Raw genomic sequence first — 23,115 nt, 5'->3', positions numbered from 1 at the left:
TCCTATAAAAGGAATGAGTGGGCTGAGCGAGGTGGCTCACACCTGTAATCCCAGCACTTTGGGAGGCTGAGGCAGGTCAGAAGTTCAAGACAAGCCTGACCAACATGGTGAAATCCCATCTCTACTAAAAATGCAAAAATCAGCTAGGCGTGGTGGTAGGTGCCTGTAATCCCAGCTACTTGGGAGGCTGAGACAGAAGAATGGCGTGAACCCGGGAGGCGGAGCTTGCAGTGAGCTGAGATTGCACCACTGCACTCCAGCCTGGGCAACAGAGCAAGACTCTGTCTCAAAAAAAAAAAAAAAAAAAAAAAAGAACGATGGGGCTGGGCGCAGTGGTTCATGCCTATAATCCCAGCACTTTGGGAGCCTGAGGCAGGTGGATCACTGAGGTCAGGAGTTCAAGATCAGCCTGACCAACATGGTGAAACCCCATCTCTACTAAAAAAAAATACAAAAATTAGCTGGGCACGGTGGCAGGTGCCTCTAATCCCAGCTACTCGGGAGGCTCAGGCAGAAGAATCGCTTGAACCTGGGAGGCGGAGGTTGCAGTGAGCTGAGAATGCGCCATTGCACTCCAGCCTGGGCAACAGAGCAAGACTCTGTCTAAAAAATAAAGAATGAATGAATGAGTTAGTGAGTGGTGTTTTACTAACTTAATTCACAGCAGTGACAGGACATATGTAGAAATACTGCTATAGACATAAAAGTTATTACTTCTGTTAGCCAAGACACTGCTTTATGTGGTGAATTATAGAAATCTAAACATTTCCTTTCTATCAAGGACTAGATTAGGCTCTAGCTGTCAGCCACATTGAAGTCACATGGCATCTGAGAAACTGAAACAAGGGTCACTAGCTCCATTCCACGGAAAAGGATCTCATTCATTCAGAGAGTGATTTTTTCCTTAAATAATTTTTATCAGTTTGGTTATTTGGTTTCAGTCTTCAGCAAATTAGAAGCAACAACATAGAAAGATGAGACTTTTTTCACAGTTAAGTATAAAAACAAGAGGTGATGGCTAACAAAGAATAAGACTCCATTACACACTCAAATGGTCCTCAAGGATAGGGCTATGTCCTAATATGTTCATCTGATCATTGTAAATAGTAAAAAGTGTCATCATGATTCAGTAAGGTCAGATCTCCCCATCCCCAAACAAGTGTTACCAATAGCAAAGTAAGGTGATTATTTGTCAACAGGGGGTATAATGACATTGTGGGTGGAATAATTCTTTGTTGTGCAAGACCATCCTGTACATGACCTAACATTAAGTAACTGAGTACTAAATGCCAGAATTCCAAATGTCATTCTAACAACCAGCATCTTCCAAATGCCCTTGTGAAGGTGGTACTACCCCAGGTAAAAATAACCAGCATCATGAGAATTGGTGTTTATGGAAGTGGGATAGTGCAGGAAAATGGGACTTAGCAATTGGAGAAGCTGGTAATGAGTCCTAGCTATGCCACTTACTTGGGCTAATTTTTAAATTTCTCTCAGCTTTACTTTCTGTATTTACAGAATGGAAAATAATTCCACCTACTTCCCTGGCTACCTTACAGATTAAATGAGAATAAGACACATAAAAGCATTTCACAAACCTACAAATGTCATATGAACATCGGTTATTATAACATTGATAATAAAATAAATGTAAACTACTGTAGGTATGCTGTTTAGAATGTAAAGAAATATGTGATAAAAAGATCACACATACACATACACCCACACTTGCACTAAGAAAAAAAAAATCAAGACTCAAATAAGTTATTTTCCATAGTAATAAAGAAATATGATGAAGGATCACAATAAATATAATGGTTTCATAATACCATTATTAAACTATATAAGAACTTTTGCTATAAAAATTCGAATACAAAAGTGCATAAATTGAAAATGTTACTCAGTTTATTCATTAGAGCCAACTGCTCTGAATACTTTTTATATTAACGTGCCATCAAAAACACATGACCATCATCAACCACACACACACAAACACACAAAAACACACCAAAAGGAAACCAGCCTGAGCATGGTGGCTCATGTCTGTAATCCCAGCACTTTGGGAGGCAAAGGTGGGAGGACTGCTTGAGCCTTTGGCAACCAGCCTCAGCAATATAGTGAGACCCTGTGTCTCTACAAAAAAAATTAAATAATTAAGCAGGCATGGTGGTATGCACATGTAGTCCCAGCTACTCAAGCTGAGGTGGGAGGACTGCTTGAACCCTGGGGGTCAAGGATGTAGTGAGCTGTGATTGTGCCACTGCACTCCAGCCTGGGCAACAGAATGAGACCCTGTCTCACACAAAAAAAGGAAGAAGTAAACCAAAGCTACACCACATACGAAGAAGGCAAAGGATGGTCACCTTTAGCCCATGGAACTGAGTACCAGCAGAGGCCAAGTTGAACTGCAGACAGTGGTCTGCAGACACAATGCTCCCAACAGTCTTTCCTTTTCTACTTGATCATGTTCACTCAGCCAAGAGTGAGGAGTGCTGTGGGTGCTAAGTCATAGCCAGTTAGAACATGTACACTTAATATGCCTTCTCTCACTTAAAAATAAGTAGCAGTGACTCCTTAGGTACAGAAGATTCACAAGTGAAAACTAAGAAAAAACATATTAACAAAAAAAATTTTATCTAAATCCATTAGCAAGTTGAAGCATATTTAGTGTTACCTTCAGTTTCTGCCTGGCGGGAGTCTGGCACTTCTTGAGTAACACAATCCTGCTCATCTGGAACAGTTGCTAGCAAGCTGTCTCTTTCATAGTTTTCTGTTTCAAGTTCACCAGCTGAAGATACGCTCTGACACTTTTCAGGTTCTGGATTATTAGTCTCCAGTAGGTCATCACCTTTTTTAACAGACATGTCTTGTTCCTCTGAATCACTACTTGTGGAAGCGTCGTGCACATTGTCATGAGAAGATGATTCCTGTGATGCTTCTTCATCCATTGGTTTATTAACCCATGTGAGGAATTTTTCTACCTTAAATTTTAAGATGACATCATGAGCAGGAATTAATTCCAAACTACACAGAATCTTCCTACCTATTACAATTTGTGACTTGACTGAAAAGCTGTGTCAAAATTATTGGCTCTGAAAAGCAGACTGCATCACACAAGCTTAATAGTAAGTAATTCTGACCTAATCAGAATGCTATCTGGGCATGCCATGACCTTATTAAAAGTTTTCTTTAAAAGGAAAAAAATATCAGATTAAATACTTCCTGCTATCAATAAATACTAAGAGGATAAAGCCAAACTGTCCCAGTGGCTTTTCCATAAGGGTTCTTAACAATTTAACTGTGCTACAGCTACATTACAAATGTACCTACTTACTACTGAATCATTAATTTTAGTTTTTCAAATTATATAGACCTTTCTGCAATGGTCAAGCTACAATCTATGTAAATGTTACTTAGCATCAAAGACGAACCCTAAAAAGATTTAGGGCCAATTCTTCTGTAAGAATAGAAGCAGTCTACCTTGGAAAAAAATCAAAGTTGCCTTTTAATGCAACAGTAGAGCCAGTAAGATATGTCCCAGCAAATGTTTGTTCTTTGGAATGTAAACAAGGCTCAGCATCAGATCATATACTTCTTTGCATCTTCTGTAACAAGAATATTCTTCCTATCTTGTCTTCATGACCTTCCTGAGAGTGAGTAAATTAGAATGAAGTGGTAGACATGATGGGCAACAACCCAGAATCTTCCTCTAAAGAAATGTGCCTATAAATAAATTAGGTATCTAAGTTAGACACAACAGTTACATATCTTTTTTCCTCAGCAATGCTTAGTAGCTGTTTCTGCACTCATCTATAGATGAATGCATAGGGGCTATTATATCCAACACATTACGGAAAGTCCTATGGCACTGACTGGACTAATACTAGGCAGTCTGTTTCAGATATAACTAGCACCACGAACATATTTATTAAAACATCACCAGCAGCCAACCAACCTGAAATGTAATACAAAATAAAACCAGCTATATATATGTAGCATATTTTACAAGTATGCTGAAGTTAGGGAGGACACTGTATTGAGGGGAAAAAGAGTCATCTGACTAGCCTTAAAAAACGAACAACAGAGACAGAGACATCATGGAGTCTAAGATTATGGTCTACTGTCCTGAAGAGCTGCTGGAGATGTGATTGACATGAAGGTTCTGCTCATTAGAAAGTGTTTTTTACCCCTTAGAATATAGAAAGGTAATTCATCACACCAAGCAATTTTCTAACTACTTTTGTTTCCCAGGTACTTGGATGGCAGGTATAGCAAAGTCCAATATATGAATATTTCAGGTAATAATGTGAATCAATAAATTGGCCTGTGTTTCATGCTATCAGGGTGAACTTGTTACAAGGTGTAAACTGTGACTGATCACTTCTGGAAGAACTCAGAATTAAAGCTTATAATATAAAGCTGTATCAGAATTTGGACTATTAGGATCCTACTGGTATGGTTTGGCTGTGTCCCCACCCAAATCTTATCTTGAATCATAGTTCCCATAATCCCCACGTGTTGTGGGAGGAATCAGGTAAAGATAGTTGAATCATGGGGGCAGTTTCTCCCACTCTCTTCTTGTGATGGTGAGTTAGTTCTTATGAGATCTGATGGTTTTATAAGGTGCTTCCCCCTTTGCTGGGCACTCATTTCTCTCTCTAGCTGCCATGTGAAGAAGGAGTTGTTTGCTTCCCTTTCCACCATAATTTTAAGTTTTCTGAGGCCTCCCCAGCCCTGCAGAACTGTGAGTCAATTAAACCTCTTTCCTTCAAAAATTATCCAGTCTTGGGTATGTCTTTATTAGCAGCCCGAAAACAGACTAATACACCTACCTAGCCTAAAACAGATGAGAAATTGTTCCTTGTTCTTGTCTGTTACTACATAGGCAAGGTTGTGTTTTTTTTTTGAGACAGTCTTACTCTGTCTCCCAGCCTAGAGTGCAATGGCACAATCTCAGCTCACTGCAACCTCCACTCCCAAATTTCAAGCAATTCTCCTGCCTCAGCCTCCCGAGTAGCTGGGATTACAGGCACCCGCCATCATGCCTGGCTAATTTTTATATTTTTAGTAGAGATGGGGTTTCACCATGTTGGCCAGGCTGGTCTCGAACTCCTGACCTCAGGTGATCCATCCGCCTCAGCCTCCCTAAGTGCTGGGATTACAGGTGTAAGCCACCATGCCCGGCCAAGGTTGCGTGTTTTTTTTTGAGATGGAGTTTTGCTCTTGTTGCCCAAGTTGAAGTGAAAAGGCGCGATCTCGGCTCACTGCAACCTTCGCCTCCCGGGTTCAGGCGATTCTCCTGCCTCAGCTTCCCAAGTAGCTGGGATTTCAGGCAAGCGCCACCATGCTCAGCTAATTTTGTATTTTTAGTAGAGACAGGGTTTTCCATGTTGGTCAGGTTTGTCTGGTACTCCCGACCTCAGGTGATCCACCTGCCTCAGCCTCCCAAATTGCTGGGATTACAGGTGTGAGCCACCACGCCTGACGGCTGCGTTTTTTAAATAATCTCAGACACTAGTACTTTGTAGCTTTCAAACACTTCCTTTTCACCCTACCTCAACTTGCCTTTTTTCAGATTTAGTTTACATAATATATGCCTTCAAGAAGCAAGTAAAAAAAAAAAAAATTATGTACCTTGATACCTGGTAGAAACAAGCTTCCTATTTGAATACAACAATTTTAAGAGGTCAAACTTACAAAACATGATTCTATCTACAAATATGCAACAAAATTTATACATACCTTACTCAGAATTTTGCTTTTCTTGAAAAATGGTTTTTCTGACTCTTTGGTAAAGAAGATGTGTTTGTTTTTCATCTTTATTTGTCTGCGCATGTCTAGGTACTTAGACTTAAGCTTCACATTCTTCTCTAAATACCTGACCTGCCGATGACTGAAATTTGGGATTCCACCATATCTGTGACAGATCAAAAGAAGTTATTCACAACTTAAATTCTAGGATTATATTTCCTTATAGGAAAAGAGGATGAAACTAACATTTTCACTCATTTTTACACCATTTTAATTCCCTTTTTAAAATTATGAAAATGATAAAATCAAGTTCAACTTGCAGAAGAGTTGATGGTCTAACTTTCATGTTAATTCTAAAGCAAATGTGTAACACCAAAGTTGGGAAGTGCAACATACCTAATATAGAGGAGAAAGTAGAAATTACATAGTAGACTGCAATAAATAAATAGTAAAACAAACAAACAAACAAACGAAAACCCTATCCCCTTGTTAGGGAAATATAAATATATAAATATTTTCAAGGTGGGGTGATGTCAAAGCTCTTTAACACATTTCTGGATACATTTGAATTATCTAAATCAATCTGAGCTTACAAAAGAAGCGAACCCTTCGTATCAAAATAATTAGAGAATGCCTGATTTAACCATCTGAAATTTTCCAGTCCTAAAAGATATGTATCTGCTATGAAGCCTCCTTTGATTATATTAAGCCTCAATTAACTCCCTCTCCGACAAACTGTTAGGGACTTAAGAGTGTCACGTACACTTTAGCATTTATAAAATCCAGAATAGTCTGGGTTTAAATATCAGGTCTCACTTTGTAGCCATATTATAAACTTCTTTTAATAAACAGGATATTTTATCCTTCTCTTTTAAGTAGAATTGGGTGCTCTAAATAGAAGAGTAGTTAAGTAGTTAAGTCTCAGGCAAGAAAAGAAATAGATTTCTACAAGTGTATACTATCAAAATCTACCCAAGGATTCCTCAATAAAATTACATGTGCATAGTAATACATCCTGCCAGGAATTTAAAAACCTTTTTACATGCTAAACTTTATGATCTTAGCCTTAAATGATTATATGAACTATTGATTATATTAACTATAATTGCCTTGAAACACCTAAGGGAGAAAAACTGATAATCTTTAGAAACTACAAGAGTCAACATGTACTTCTGAACTAATTTGAATTCAATTCAATTTTGAGACATTCCTCGTGTCCCTTTCTTGCTGATTTCATAATGTGTAGGTATCTACTTAAATTTCACAACTTATGAAACAGATAAGTAGGACCTGAAATCTCAACCCTTAGAAACATCAAAGAACCCAGTCATGGTTTAGATTACTGGTGTAAGCTGTCTTTAGCAGGCTTTACCTACTCAGTTTAGTCTTCATGTCATGTACGATAAAATCTCTAGTTGTTCTAACACAACTACCCATGTTCCTTTATATTTAATGCTTGGGCATTTAATCCCAGAGAAATCTTATGTCTTTTATACACAAATGTTCACAGCAGCTTTGTTTACTTTTGAAATTTCATTTTATTTTTTTATTTTCTGCCTTGCTATGTTACCCAGGCTAGTCTCAACCTCTGGCTTCAGGCAATCTTCTTACCTCAGCTTCCCAAAGTGCTGGGATTACAGGTGTGAGCCACTGCACCTGCACTGTTGCTTTATTTGTAACAGCAAAATGCCACAAATAATCCAAATGCCCTTCAATTGTTGCATGGTTGAGCAAATTTTGGTACATCCATACATTGGAATTCTATTCAGCAATAAGAAGGAATAAATGGACTGGGCGTGGTGGCTCATGCCTGCAATCCCTGCACTCTAGGAGGCTGAGATGGGAGGATCACTTGAGGCCAAGAGTTTAAGACCAGCCTGGGTAACATAGCAAGACCCCATCTCCATGAAAAAACTTAAAACAGCACTGCACTCCTGCCTGTGTTACAGAGCGAGACCCTAAGGAAGGAAGGCAGGCAGGCACATGTAATAATCTGGAGGGACCTTCTAGGGCATTATGCTTAGATCTTAGGAAACAATTTAGATGTTGTTAATTAGGATAACTGATAAAACACAATGCCCTCATTTACAGAATTAGCTAAATGTTTCTACCAACAAGAAAGAGTGTCTATGGTACATTGTTGAGGGAGAAAAGCAAACTGGAGAGTATGTATAATATGACCTAATTTTTCTGTTTTACACAAAGAGAAGCAAAATGTGTGTACGTGGTGAGGCGCGGTGGCTCACGCCTGTAATCCCAGCACTTTGGGAGGCCAAGGTGGGCGGATCACCTGAGGTCAGGAGTTTGAGACCAGCCTGGCCAATATGGTGCAACCCTGTCTCTACTAAAAAAAATAAAAAATTAAAAAATAAATAAATAAATAAATAAATAAATAAATAAATAAATAAATTAGCAGGGCATGGTGGTGCATGCCTGTAGTCCCAGCTACTTGGGGGGCTGAGGCAGGAGAATCACTTGAACCCAGGAGGCGGATGTCGCAGTGGGCCGAGATCGCACCACTGTGCTGCAACCTGGGTGACAGAGTGAGACTCTGTCTCAAAAAACAAAACAAAACAAACAAAAAATGTGTGTACATGTATGTAGTCATAGCACACAACAGTAAATTTGGAGGGACGTATGCCAAACTCTTTTTTTTGAGAGTCTCACTCTGTTACCCAGGCTGGAGTGCAGTGACATTATCATGGATCACAGCACCCTCAACCTCCCGGGCTGAAGTGATCCTCCCATCTCAGCCTCCTGAGGAGCTGGAAACACAAGCATGCACCACTAAACCCAGCTAATTTTTAAATGTGTTGTAGAGATGGGGTCTCCCTATATTGCCCAGCCTCTCAAAGTGCCAAACTCTTTAAAACACTGCCTACATTTGAGAACGACTGGAAGAAAATATTTTTTACTTTTTACTTGTTATTTGGTTTGTTTTAATTTTACTCTTTCATAATAGAAAAAGAGGTTATTGCAGATTTCAACGTTTCATGGCATGTTTGCTATGGTCTTCAGATGTACACATGTGAGACACTAGGTGAGAAGAGAACCATGCTTAGAAGTCACAAGAGCTGGGCCTAAATTCCCTCTCCAGTAAAGTCAAAGCCTCTGTGAGCTGCAGTTGCTTTATCTATGAAATGGAATAACAACACTGGATTGCTATAAAGTGCAACTGAGTTAAAGCATATGAACACATCAAATGTACAGGGATATCTCTACCACAATTCTAACAAGAAGTGATTTAATGATAACATCTCAACACATGATCATTTATTAGTTATCTGAGTATCAGAGTGCTCTAAGATAGTTGAAGTGGTTAGGACTTCTGGAAAACAATAGCTTTTATGAATAATTACTTTTGTCCTGAGCCATACTTGAATCCTAGAAGGGAACCACTGTCATCAAAGTCTGAAGCTGGGTTTTCATCAATGTCCAGTTCATGGCTAAATAAAGAAAAGGTAAACAGTGATAAGCCATTACCACCAGAGCCCACTAGTTCAGATAAATATAAAAAAGGCAATATAATTGACCCATGCAAACTTCCCAACACCATAGTCAACCATAGTTCACAAATCCAGGAAACCAGGAAAAAAAATACTTTAATTAGAATTTTCCAAATAAGGTAAGTACCCAGGAGCATTTGGAACACAGCAATAAGTATTCCAGTCTTAATTCATGTCAAGTAATGATTTCTATTCCTAGGTATGGTACAAATATAATCTCTCAATTTTCCTTTGGAAAAACATCAGTAAAAGCTGCAGCCTTAAATTAATCTCCTAAAGTGATTTCTCCAGAGGTTTCCCTTAAAAACAAACAAGGAAACGTTTGATAAGTATCAATACAATCCAAAAAAATTTTAAAAGAAAAAAATTACTAAAAAGAATAAGGTTGTGATACAAGTGATATTAGGTAACCCAGGAGAATCCACCTACTAGAGATCTTTTAGTAACCAGTGACCATCCCTGGCCGTAATTCCAAGTAAAGGAAAATGGTGAGAAATAATTCTTACAAAGTTTGTCCTTCAAAATAAGTTACGCTCATTGAACACACATGATCTTTGCCTCCAGTAACTAGCAGGAACTGGGGAGTTAACAAGCAATGTCTACCATACAGAGGTAGCACAGTAGAGGCACGCTTGTTTTTCCAGAAGCTATATGGAGTACAAGTGTCTTACGTGGAGCACCCCATATCCAGTCAAAGAAATGAAGTGTCCAGCTAACTTCCAAGTTCAGTAACGATCCATTCTTTCCTTGTTACTTACAGTGTTAGCATCTGACTACATCCCACCTTACATTATTCTCTACGTGTTTAATTATGTGTACAAGTGTATAAACCTTCAAGAAAAAAATGTAGAGATGAATACCAAAAAAAAGAACTTTTATTTGGTTATAAAACACAAAAACAGAACTGCAGTTTGGGACATAAGCACAGAATGAGGTGGCCTCATGAAATGTCCAAAGAAGAGAGGAAAAGGTTAGAGTTTCACTGAGGAGAGAGGTCACGCACGTTGTTTAGAAAGTTAGTTCACTGGTGCTGGCAGCATCTTACAACAAACAGCTGGTGAGTTTTGATTAGGAGAGCCAGTGGTTGTTAGGTGGAAGACTGAAGGCTACAAATTCAGGAATAACTTACAAATTACAACAAAGGACTGCTTCAGGAGTGGCACAACCACTGCCACTTCTGGGCAGAGATAAACTTGTAAACTGAGAGTTATGGTTAGGCCTCTGCAGTTTCGAATTGGGCTTGTGAGACTGTGTCAGGCACATGTTCCTGTATAAGCAGCTATCTGTCTTTGTGTGATGCTTTGGCTTGGAAAAATTTCTTGTGACAGTTCCTGTTATCAAGCAAATAGTGCATGAGAGTCTTTCATGGCCTTCCCTGGCTACATTTTACCAGTGTCTGACACAAGTGACTCTGTTTTGACTCTTACAACTTTCACAGTGGTAAACAGAAATTGCACTGCTTCGAGTAGAGTTGATCTGGGCTCTGGCTTTAGAGCTGCCATTGCTGTGAAGAAAACTGAGCAAGGTACTCATTCCTGTTTGCCTCAGTGTTCCTATCTATACAATGAGAGCATGACCTTGAGGTCTTTTTCAGCAATACAAATCTGGGATAAAATATATCCAGACTTTTGAAAAACATTAGAACTGGTGAGAGAGAGAGAGAGAGAGAGAAGATATGAATTTAATTATTAGTTAAAAGTTATGATCCATTGATAGCTACTAAGTGTCAGATATATTACATGCTAGCTCCTGTCTACCCAATAATCACAAAAAAGGCATCAGTCCAATCTTATAGATGAGAAATTAAGAAATGTACTTAGGCCGGGTGTGGTGGCTCACACCTGTAATCCCAGTGCTTTGGAAGGCCAAGGCAAGTGGATCGCTTGAGGCCAGAAGTTTGAGATCAGCCTGGGCAACATAGCGAGACCCTGTCTCTATAAAAAATTTTAAAAAATTAACCAGGAGTGGTGGCACATGCCTGTAGTCCCAGCTACTCAAGGCAGAAGGATCAATTGAGCTGAGGAGTTCAAGTTCAATTGAGCTGAGGAGTTCAAGATCATAGTGAGCTATGATCATACCATGTACTCCAGCCTGAGCAATAAAGCGAGACCATGTCTTAAAAAAAAAAAAAAAGAAATGTACTTAGAGTTTGTGAGTGGCAGAGTTCGGCCTTAACCACAGGTCCAGGTCCAAAGGCTCAGAATCTTACCAGTAGATCCTGCCTCTTCTTACATGATTACTGGTGTTGTGAACATAACAATCATTTAATAACCACTGGCTTATGCATACAAATGCTTACTCTAACACGCTCTGGTGAGAGGGGTCTCATGTAACTTACCTCCTCTTCAGTTTGCTTGGCTTATGCTCAGGTGGGTCTTCCTCACTTTCATCTCCATCAGTACCACTGGCATGTGGTCTGTCTTTGCTTGTGTTTGCTCCTGAAGACTTCTGTGAATCTAAAGAGGCAGAAATATTGCAGTAGCTTTTCCCCCTTGGTTTGACAACTTTTCTGCTATTTGCAAAGCCAATGAAAATATTTTAGCACCTTTTCTACAATGAACTGTACATGTGCATCAAAGTGCCAGCTCACATCTACCTGTTTGTGTCTACATGCAGAGTCTGAGCATTTTAAAAATCTTAACTATAAGGTTTGTTAAATTAAATTTAGCCTAAAACTGTCCATGTATACATTTTAAGCTCAGCTTAAAGGTTTTTCCACATGTAGTGAACTGTAACCTAACTGGTGGTATAAAAAGACTGTAACCTACTCTTGTATCAAGCACAGTTTTGGCTAATCACAGGCAGCCAACTATTCAAATGGTGTTCAAGTAAGGCAAAAGCTGGGCTGTAACCAATCCAGCTGTTTGTGTACCTCACTTCCACCTTCTGTACGTTGTACATCATTTTTCTTTTTCTGTCCATAAATGTTATCCCAATCATGTGGCAGCCCTGGAGTTGCTCTGAACCTATTCTGGCTCTTGGGGCTGCCTGATTCGAGAATCGTTCTTTGCTCAGTTAAACTCTATTAAATTTAATTTGTATAAAGTTTTTTAACAGGTTTAAAAATGTTCATGATCTAACTACTTAAAAAAAAACACAACAAACTAAAACTACTTCTTCATAGCTGCCCAAATCTATACAAATTAACCCACAAAGCTGCCTTTGTGATAGCTGTTAGCAGTCACATTCTTATGGAATTTTAATTGAAATGACCGTAAAGGGGGCATAATCACATTGATTAAGAAGAATTTCTCTTCATTTGCCTTTAATATAGTATGAAAGTAACATTAATAATGAGAGTAACAAAGACAATACTATCTTTAAGAAGAGTTCTTTAACTTATGGTGACAAAAACTGAGGCACAAATCTGTCTTTGTTCTCTATTTTGTCAGACTGGAAGAAAGTGGGTGGCTGAGACCAGGAGGAAAAAGATGTCTGCAGGGTAGACAGTGGGAAGCTTTGACTCTTTCAGAAAAGCACCAACCACAAAGAGTAGAAAACATACTTACATAGAAGCATAACCTATACCTTAAATTTTGAACTCAAGGGAGGATCTAAAACAAATCAAAATCTAAAACCCTCAAATTCATCCTGATGGCAGACAAACTGGAGTTATTACAGAAATGGACAATCTATAAACGTAAGTAAGGGAACAAGCAACAGAAGGCAGAGACTGTGAGACTTACTGTGTCTGCCAAAGAAAAAAGCAGGCAGATGAGGGAGGAGAACCAAAGAGGGTAAATGAGACTGTAAGTCAGAGGCCAAAACAATGCCCAATATGTATATTATAAACTTTATGGTCAAAATATGTACAGAAAGGTATCAGGAGAGTATAGAAGAGTATCAGAATACTAATATAAAATCTTCAGATAAAAAAGGATGGCTGTGCATGGTGGCTCACGCCTATGCACTTTGGGAGGCTGAGGCGGGAGGATCACTTGAGGTCAGGAGTTTGAAACCAGCCTGGCCAACACGGTGAAACCCCGTATCTACTAAAAATAAAAAAATAAAAAAATTAACTGTATGTGGTGGCACACACCTGTAGTCCCAGCTACTCGGGAGGCTGAGGCTGGAGAATTGCTTGAGCCCCGGAGGCGGACCTTGCAGTGAGCTGAGATAGTGCCACTGCACTCCAGCTTGGGTGACAGAGTGAGACTCCATCTCAAAAAAAAAAAAAAAAAAAGGATGAAAATGTATCACCAAAATAGAAAGGAATGAGAATATTATACTGAGGTAGGCTCCACTTATAAGAATCTAAGAATATAGAGAAAAAAAGCAAGTTGACAGAGCTCTTTAGAAACTGTCAGCTGGATGAAGTATTATCAGCAATCTGAGATAAGCAAAGCAAATCTGATTGTTAAGTAAAAGGTCAAAACCATTTGTTTCACAAAAGAGTAAGGCTGAGAAGAAAGTTCCTCTACACTAGATGTCTTCAGCATGTAACATCAGGATGCCAAAACTTCAGGATATGCAGATGTCACAGAAATTTCCTCCTCTCCCATTTTCCTGGTGCTGTTAATTGGCAGAAGCCTCTCCCCAGCAAGAGCACTGATAGGGTTTGGATGTTTGTCCCCTCTAAACCTCATGTTTAAATGTGATCCCTAATGTTGGAAGTGGGGTCTGGTGGGAAGTGTTTGGGTCATGGGGCAGATCCTTCATGAATGGCTTGGTGCCTCCCCATGGTAATGAGTTACTGCAATATCTGATTGCTAACAAGAGCCTGGGACCTCCCCCCTCTCTCTTGCTCTCTCTCTTGCCATGTGGCATGCCTATGCCCCTTTCACCTTCTGCCATAATTGGAAGGTTCCTGAGGCCCTCACCAGGAGTTGATGCTGAGACTATGCTTCCTGTACAGCCTGCAAAACTGTGAGCCAAAATAAACCTCTTTTCTTTAAACATTCCTCAGTCTCAGGTATTCCTTTACAGCAATGCAAAGTAAACATTCTCATCGCACCGTACTCAGATTAACTCCTTTCAAAACACTTCTCATTGGCATTCTCTAGTCCTGAGTGGCACCAGTTTGCACAATTAGCTTTTTTTGGATCAGTTATTCAGGAATCAATCAAGTTCCTTATCCTGGATATTTTATTGATGAGAATCCTGAAATTAACCATTCCAGTTATAAATTAATATTGTGCCCCATTGAGATCTTTTTTTCACAGCAAGACTTCACTTGTCCTAAGTGAATTCCACATATGACTCATAAGACATTTGCCTAATGTCAAATGTACATTCTCAATTGCTTTCTAACATGCCTCTTATAAATTCATTTGCTGTGGAAAACTAAAAGTTCCAAGCTCACTTTATATTAGATTTCTCAAGAGATTCCACATTTTCCTTCATTAGCCACCAAAGTACAAGAGAAGGAATGATACTTTTGAGAACTGCATGCAAATATTCTTATTAATAGAAAAGGATAACTTGTGATATGAAAACAGGATGGATTAAATCATTTCATTATTATATGAAATGTACTTGGTATTATTTAACTCTACAATAAAGGATTAGTAGTTATTTTGCTAAATGAATTCATTTTGCTAACCATTACATGGCAGAATAAATCTTGGTTAATCTTACCCTCAGCTGGTGGGTCTGTGTTTGTATTCCCCGATGAGTTGCTTTCCTCATTGGTTCCTCCATTACGTGGTTCACTTTGGCCGGAAGCAGGGCACTCTCTTTTGCTACTAACTTCACTTAGCTGTTGATGACCATCATGACTTGTACAGGAATCTAATTGGCTCTGTGTTACTTCCTCTGAATTCAGTTTTATGTTACTAATTCCATCAAGTATTTCACTATGATCCTTATCACTTGTACCAGAGCTATCATTATCAACCATAATAGGTGAAGATGGAAAAGATACTAAGTCAACTTTCATGCATTTTTCATCGTTCTTGTCATCAGCTTCTGTTTTAGATGTGTAAGTATCTGTATCACAGCTTTGCGAGGCATCAAAAGTCCAACCCTGAGCTTCCCAATACTGAAATTGTTCCAAATAATACCAATAAAGTTGACTATAATGTTGCTCCCATTCTTCCTTTGTATCAGGAAAGTTCCAAGGTTCAGAAGATAGTGCTTGACCCGGATGTTTTTCTTGCCAACTTTGCCACAATAGTCCTCCTCCATATTCATTCCAATACTTTTCCCATTTCTCTGTAATTTCTAGCTTTGGAGATAATGTGTTTTCAACTGGAGGATTTTCTGTCTCAGTATCTTTTTTGCTTTGAAGTTCATATGTTCTGGTGTTCTCATACTGTTCAATTGAAGATGGATCATCTGAAGCCAAAATGTCGTCTTCTTCATATTCTTTTCTCCAAGATTCTTGCACAATTTCATCTAAGTATTTCTTTTGATGTTTTTTCTTTTTTATTTTAACTTTATTTCTAGTATTCATAGATACCTATATCAGATAAATAACTTGAATATAAAATGCACTTTATGAACTATAAAAGAAAGTAGAATCCAAGTCTATTTTGACATTAAATTAAACAAAATACTCTAAAGCCCCACTATGGGCTTTTAGCTCCACAAACAAGTGATATACTATCTAAGTTTCCAAGAGGAGGAACAGTCACACTTGGGACATATTACAACTTTCAGTTCTGGTTAATTTATAAATACATACATTTAAAAAGAGGTAGAGAGCGCTGATCGTGAATGCATATAATCTGATAAAAAGTAATTCCTTGCGATATTTTATAAAGAAAACGAAGAGAGAGAAATAATAAAAGTAAATTAATATTTACCTCAAAATCCTTATGTGCAGTTATCCTACCAAATTGAAGTGGCAATCCCATACTTCTCATGAGTTCAGCCTCAGAATCAAGTTCACTTTCATCCAGGCCTATGCCTTTGCTGTCATGTGATTCTGCAGTACCACAGGAATAACCACCTTCCTCTTCTTCTGTCGCCTGGTCTCCTATAGACACCATTTATTAGCTTAGTTTTAAGGAAAACTTAAGAGGCAGGTTTTCTTATTCTCATTTAAAAAAACCTGAGATCCAGAGTGACCCGCCCAAAATAAAGGTATGCAAATGTTACAATTTTTTTTATTTTTTAGAGATGGGGGTCTCACAACACTGCCCAGGTTGGAGTATAAGGGCTATCTGCAGGTGTGATCATAATGCACTAAAAAGCTCTGAACTCCCGGGCTCAGTCAGTCCTCTTGCCTCAGCCTCACAAGCAGCTAGGATTACAGTTGCATGCCACCTTGCCTGGCCTGCAAAGTTACAATTTTTAAAGGAAAAAAGAAAACAAACAAACAAAAAAACAATTGACGGTATGCTGGGCACGGTGGCTCACACCTGTAATCCCAGCACTTTCGGAGGCTGAGGCAGGCGGATCACTTGAGGTCAGGAGTTTGAGACCAGCCTGGCCAACATGGTGAAAACCCGTCTCTACCAAAAATATAAAAATTAGCTGGGCCCAGGCTGTAATTCCAGCTACTCAGGAGGCTGAGGCAGGATAATTGTTTGAACCTGGGAGACAGAGGTTGCAGTGAGCCAAGATTGTGCCACTGCACCCCAGCCTGGGTGAGAGAGCGAGACTCTGTCTCAAAAAAAAAACAAAAAACAAAAAACAAAAAACACCAATTGACAGTAATATGGAGTAGTAACAAAAAAAGCCAATGAAGAATCAACGGAAGAATCAATTTCTTATTGGGCTCTGCCTGCCACTATTCATCCAGCTGCCCATTTAACTTACTCTTATTGAGCATCTGCTCTATGTTGGGCACTGTGCAAAATACTGAGGATGGAAGGAAGACAGAACAGGCCATGTAACCCTGGTACGTGGAGAAAATACTTATATGTTCACATTCTTTATCTGCAAAATTACTGAACTAAGACAGTGAATTTAAAAATCATGATTTGTGAAGTTATTTTAGGAGGTATTAACAAGAGCGGGTGAGAAGCATGTCTTCATGCCCCTCACAGACACTTCAATACAACTGGGATTTAGGTTCCGGGATTCTGTGGAAGAGCTGATTTAACAAAAGGATTCTGCTATTAGAAGTTTGAAATCCTGGGGTTGGGCACAGTGGCTTATGGCTCTAATCCCAGCATTTTGAGAGGCTGCTTGAGGCCAGGAGTTTGAGATAAGCCCGAGCAACACAGCAAGACCCTGTCACTACAAACAAAACCAAAAACCAAAAAACAAACTACCCTGGTGTGGTGGTGCCTGTAGTTCCTGCTACTTGGGAGGCTGAGGTGAGAGGAATGCTTAAGCGATCACCACTCAGACAACAGAGCAAGACCCTCTCTCTCTCTCAAAAAGAGAAAGGTTTGAAATCCCCTAAACTGGAAGATTTTTTTCAAGCTCTCTGAATCTAATTCTTATAGAAAAACCATTTATTACAACAAAGTAAGTTTTACTTTACACCAATATGGTTATCTAATAGTAATTATACCATTAATTGAACATATGCCATTCAAGTGCTCTATTAACTTTAAAATGTGAGATAACAAAAAATCATTTTATGTATTAGCACACTCAATTAGCATTGGGCTGCACTCCAGCTTGATGGTCTCAGGCAACAGAACAGTAAATCTTATATAGCCAAAATGAAGACTGATAAAGAGAAATCTCTTGTGTGCAAATTCTGCTACAAGAGGGAGAAAGATACCTTTCTAAATAATGAAGGGGATTCCACTCACTACTCCATTCAAATATACTTACGAAAGCTCAGGAGACAGCAAAATGGAGAAAATGAGTAAGCTAAGTTTTATGTTCCTTTCATTGTATGCATATTTTCTTATGCTCGAGGAGCCTAGTGTTATAGGAACTTTATTTGTATAGCATAGCACTGAAACACAAACCAAACATTCCATCCAGTGATCAACTGAAGAAACAGTAATTTGTTCCATCGCCATGAGAGTTAAAGGGTTTCCGAAGGTAACTATGACACTGTACTTGGGCTGACTTTGGCTTCTAACTCCACGCTGTAATTTTCTCTGTGTCTAGGAACACAAAAGGTCTATGTGGAAGGACAAATGCAGTAGGGAAGTTTGAGACATCAAAGTGAGGCTCAATGTACAGTATAAATTATATTTGTTACTTGGGAAAGTTAACCAAGATGACAGTCTCTTTACTTCAGGCAAAAGACTATAGATGTTCACCTGGAATTTTTATCCCGTAGCATTTTTTTATCCTGCAGCATTTACCTACATAATACACTTCTCATGAAGTGTATTATGATTAGAATTTACATATTCTAAATTGGAGATGGAGTCTCACTCTGTTGCCCAGGCTGGAGTGCAGTGGCACAATCTCAGCTCACTGCAAACTCTGCCTCCTGGGTTCAAGGGATTTTCTTGCCTCAGCCTCCTGAGTAGCTGGGATTATAGGTGCCCACCACCATACCTGGATAATTTTTGTATTTTTATTAGAGATGGGGTTTTACCATGTTGGCCAGGCTGGTCTCGTACTCCTGACCTCAAGTGATCTGCTTGCCTTGGCCTCCCAAAATGCTGGGATTATAGGCATGAGCTACCACGTCCAGCCAGAAACCACATATTCCCTACTTTTCAAAGCTTTAAATTCCAGGTTGCTCTTATCTAATGGTGGCAACTCAGGAAGGAACACTACACACAGCAAAAGAGGCTACATTAAGTCAGCACAGGAGCTATAGAAAAATAAAAGATCTGCTTTCATAGAGATTCCAGAACCATGTTATAAAAGAAAATAAAAATTGTCTGATTACAGAATTATTTGGCATTTATATTTTATGCTAACAAATCAATACAATATTATAACAAATTATACATAAATTAACACATTATGGCTAATTTCAGCAAAAAAGGTTTATAGAATTTTATACTATATTACCTGAATTGTTGCCACTGTCTCTGATGTAATAGCCTTTTAATCCCAAATTGTACAATTTTCGATCCCTGCGAAGCAGATTAAGCAGTTCATATTGAAATGAATTAAGCCATCAGTTTAGAGGGAAAGAAATCTCGAGCCATCATAGATTAATTAATAAAAAGCTTATGAAACAGAAAAGCAATCTGCTAATACATTTCCCTCACTTATAATGTAGAGGCAATAATACATTTGTCATGGAGTTGTTGTAAGGACTGATAGTATATGTAAAATATTTAGCACAATGCTTAATACATGGTAGCATTTATTACTATAACTGCTAGTTACTAAAATTAAGGCTGGGCACAGTGGCTCCCACCTGTAATCCCAGCACTTTGGGAGGCTGAAGTGGGCAGATCACCTGAGGTCAGGAGTTTGAGACCAGCCTGGCCAACATGATGAAACCCCATCTCTATCGAAAACACAAATTAGCTGGGCGTGGTGGCAGGCGCCTACAATCCCAGCTACTAGGGAGGCTGAGGCAGGAGAATTGCTTAAATCCGGGAGACAGAGGTTGCAGTGAGCTGAGATCACACCACTGCACTCTAGCCTGGGCGACAAGAGCAAAAATCTATCTCAAAATAAATAAATAAATAAATAAATAAATAAATAAATAAATAAATAAATAAAGTGTAAGTTCTTCTGGACATCTGATATTCCTTATGATACATAAACAATGGGGTGTTCTCTAAATTTTGTTGTGAATAACAGTGGAGAGATTTAGCTTACATACATATAAATCAATATGCAGACACTAATCCATTTGCTAATAAGACAAACTATCCATTGTGAACAGTAGACAAGGTATTCATGGTCTGAGCAAAGGTTACCAAAATAAACCTAACAGAATACTTAAGAAAAAGTGGAAGACTCTGCTTTTAATATCTTCCTGACTATAAATTCAGCTGTAATAAACTCCACTGTAACTGCCACAAGAAGGCCAATTGCAAGTGGAAGCTAACATAACTTTTCTAATGGAGCTACAATAAATTTAACTAAATAAAATTCTAGTGTACTTGCTCTATTTCACATCCTCTTGCTTCTTTTTTGGAGATACTATATTAAATGTAAAGTAGGTGGTGACTCAGCAGGATGATGAACAGGCAAGGGGGTGACGTGCAAATGTGCTTTGGCAGCAACTGGTCCCCAGGAACATGGGCACTGGGGGTGGGAAGCAGGAGCTGCACAGGGGGCATCACTGGTCTGCCCGCCAGCACCTAAAGATATGAGGCACTGAAGTGTCAGGTGGAGGAGAGGACCAGTATGGTTGGTTGCAAGTTGGTTATAATGAGCAAATATGTAAATGTGTTGAAGATAATGTTAGCCAAGATTCCCCTTGTTGAAGGTTACTTATTTACTTTATTATTTTAAAATTTATTTTAATGTTTTTAAATAAAAAATTTTTGGTTTTTTTTTAAATAGAAATGAAGAAGGTTATTTAAAAGCAAGGTGGGCTCAAGACATTATCTGATAGGAAGGAAGGCTAGAAAGAACCCTCAGGTGTTGGGCCAACATTAGAAGTACTGTTATAAACTCATGGCATTTAAGTTTATATACACAGCAGACATAAAAATAGTTTTTAAAAGTGTTACATATGTGTGTATATATACACAGACACATTCATGTATGCGTGTAAAACACACATATATAACACTGCTCAACTCTCTCTACTAAGAGGGCACAGGAGCAATAAGCACAATGAGCAGCCAGCTTTTGGTTTCTAAATACTATTTTCCACGAAAGGAACCAAGTTGCCCGGAGAAATGACAATTCCAGGTTGGAGCATGAACTGTAAAAGATAAACCTGGGTCATCTTATGCCAGAAGATTAGGAAGCACTCAACACTAGAAATACCAAAAGGACACAGGAGCCACTTCAAAGAGTTCCCCACTGGGAACTCTGGCCAAATCAGAGACAATATCAGCACCAAATTAATGTTAGCAATGGAATATAACCTGTTAGTAAACTAAGAATCTAGATTCCATGTTAACATAAATGAATAAATACATGGGGAGAGAAGGGAAAGCGCTCCTTACAGAATACTAACTAATAAATGCAGTAGGAGCGAAGAAGACAAGAACTACTCCTTGGCATCCTTCACAGAGGTAGCTGATTCAGGGGGAAGTTATCAATGAAGGCCAAGGCTTGTGGGTTTACTGGAAAACAGGATACTGATATAACACTGGAATATGCCCCCACAAAATACTGATTAATACAAAGGGAACTATTGTGACTTTACAGTAGAAAACCTGGCATTCAGCAACATCACCCATGATGGTATACTGTCTACAAAAAGTGCCTCCTGAGGCCACACAGAGCTGGGCATAGCATCATTTCTGTGGCACTCCTGCTAAGGCATGACCCAACTATTCCTGATGAAACATCAGACAGACCCAGGTTATGCAAGGTCAGACCCCACCTCTAGAAAAAACAAAAAAAATTAGTCAGGTGTAGTAGTGCACACCTATGGTTCTAGCTATATGGGAGGCTGAGCTGGGAGAATCACCTGAGCCCAGAAGGCTGAGGCTGCAGTAAGCAATGATCATACTACTGCACTCCAGCCTCAGCAGCAGAGCGAATCTCTGACTCAAAAAAAAAAAGAAAAAAAAAAAAAAAGCCATGCCAGACATGGTGGCTCATGCCTATAATCCTAGCACTTTGGGAGGCTGAGGTGGGTGGCTCACTTGAGGCTAGGAATTTGAGACCAGTCTGGCACACATGGTGAAACCCTGTCTCTACTAAAAATACAAAAATTAGCTGGGTGTGGTAGTGTGGGCCTGTAGTCCTGGCTACCTGGGAGGCTGAGGCATGAGAACTGCTTGAACCCAGAGGGTGGAGGTTGCCACTGCACTCCAGCCTGGGCGACAGAGCAAGACTCTGTCTTAAAGAAAAAAAAAAAAAGGAAAAAAAAGAATACATATGAAATTATTTGTAATGAAAAGCATACATGTTTCAGTTCAAAAAGATGAAATTCAATGGAATTGATAAGATGGTCATTAAATAGTGTTTTAAAAGTCATTCTGATTCAAATCCAATTGTGTATTATTTTCTAGAGGTGTGAGTTGAGAAATCTTCTCAACTTTTTATATTTCATAACTTATATTCTTTCTTCTCTTTTAGAAGGAGGGCTTCCTAAAAGTAGCATCAGTACCCGATCATACTGTGGGCCGTGAATTAAGCATGTAGCCTGGGCTGCCACTGACTGCAAGGTGACTTTCCTTTCCTGGCCTGCATCTCCTACAAAGAGCCAGGTATTTTTTTCTAGTGAGCTTTTTGGTCCCACCACAGTGCTAGCCTGTAAGCCTTCTGGAGGATGGGCCCAGCTTAACAGGTCAGGTCCTGAGAAAGAGGCAGAAAGGCCTTTCCTCATGGGTGAGAGGTAAATCAGATGTCCAAGGTTATTACCGTATGTTCCAAGGCTGCTGATAATTTGAGGCAGAAAGATCAGCAACAAGAGATTACCAGCTGTTATATTTTTATGAAAACTGTTTCTTACTTAAAACTTTCAAGTATCTCCAAGAGCATTCATCACCGGGAATGATGTATTTCTAATGCCTGGCATTTGAAGAATTTCCATTATACTTGCTAAGTAGTCTCTATAAAGCTGTCTTTGAGTTTGATTAGTGTACCTTAATCCACAGAGCATAATGACTCTGGATGAATTGATGGCCTCAAAAATAGAAGATTTGTTGTAATTTCTGGACCTGGCACACGTAAGGACTAAATAAATCTTAACTACTGACTTGAATTGTAAAGCAGAAGACCCAACCTGGATTGTAGTAATCCCACTAAGATACTGCTCTCCTTAGAGCCCTAAGCAGCCACCTGAATTCTTATCCTCATACCTCTGAATATAGCAATCATCACTATGATGCCTAAGTCATCTTTCTATTGCAGCACCTGACACTCGGGCGGCTGAAATAAATGCTGAATATAAGATTCTTAGCAATATCTGAAGTACAAGTAGCAATTCCTCTTTTGCAAAGGGACTGTGAAT

At 39.0% G+C, this 23,115-nt stretch overlaps 1 protein-coding gene across 5 annotated transcripts in view; it reads right to left on the bottom strand.

Annotated features, from left to right (window-relative positions):
• Positions 1-23,115, bottom strand: part of TGS1 (trimethylguanosine synthase 1) — a 53,000-nt gene that overhangs the window by 24,551 nt on the left and 5,334 nt on the right. For 3 of the 5 annotated variants that reach the window (NM_024831.8, XM_006716485.3, XM_017014004.2), the window contains exons 2-8: positions 19,083-19,147; positions 16,004-16,176; positions 14,835-15,657; positions 11,596-11,713; positions 9,111-9,197; positions 5,743-5,917; positions 2,675-2,981 (exon numbers count right to left, since the gene is read on the bottom strand). In NM_024831.8, the coding sequence (NP_079107.6) occupies positions 2,675-2,981; positions 5,743-5,917; positions 9,111-9,197; positions 11,596-11,713; positions 14,835-15,657; positions 16,004-16,176; positions 19,083-19,147 (1,748 nt within the window). The remainder of the gene's footprint in view (positions 1-2,674; positions 2,982-5,742; positions 5,918-9,110; positions 9,198-11,595; positions 11,714-14,834; positions 15,658-16,003; positions 16,177-19,082; positions 19,148-23,115) is intronic. The other 2 variants (NM_001363184.2, NM_001317902.2) reach the window with 1 other exon arrangement.

The sequence above is a fragment of the Homo sapiens genome, chromosome 8, assembly GCF_000001405.40.
Source record: "Homo sapiens chromosome 8, GRCh38.p14 Primary Assembly".
Lineage (NCBI taxonomy): Eukaryota > Metazoa > Chordata > Mammalia > Primates > Hominidae > Homo > Homo sapiens.
Note: the sequence above shows the minus strand (reverse complement) of the source record. Positions and strands in the feature narration are given on the sequence as shown.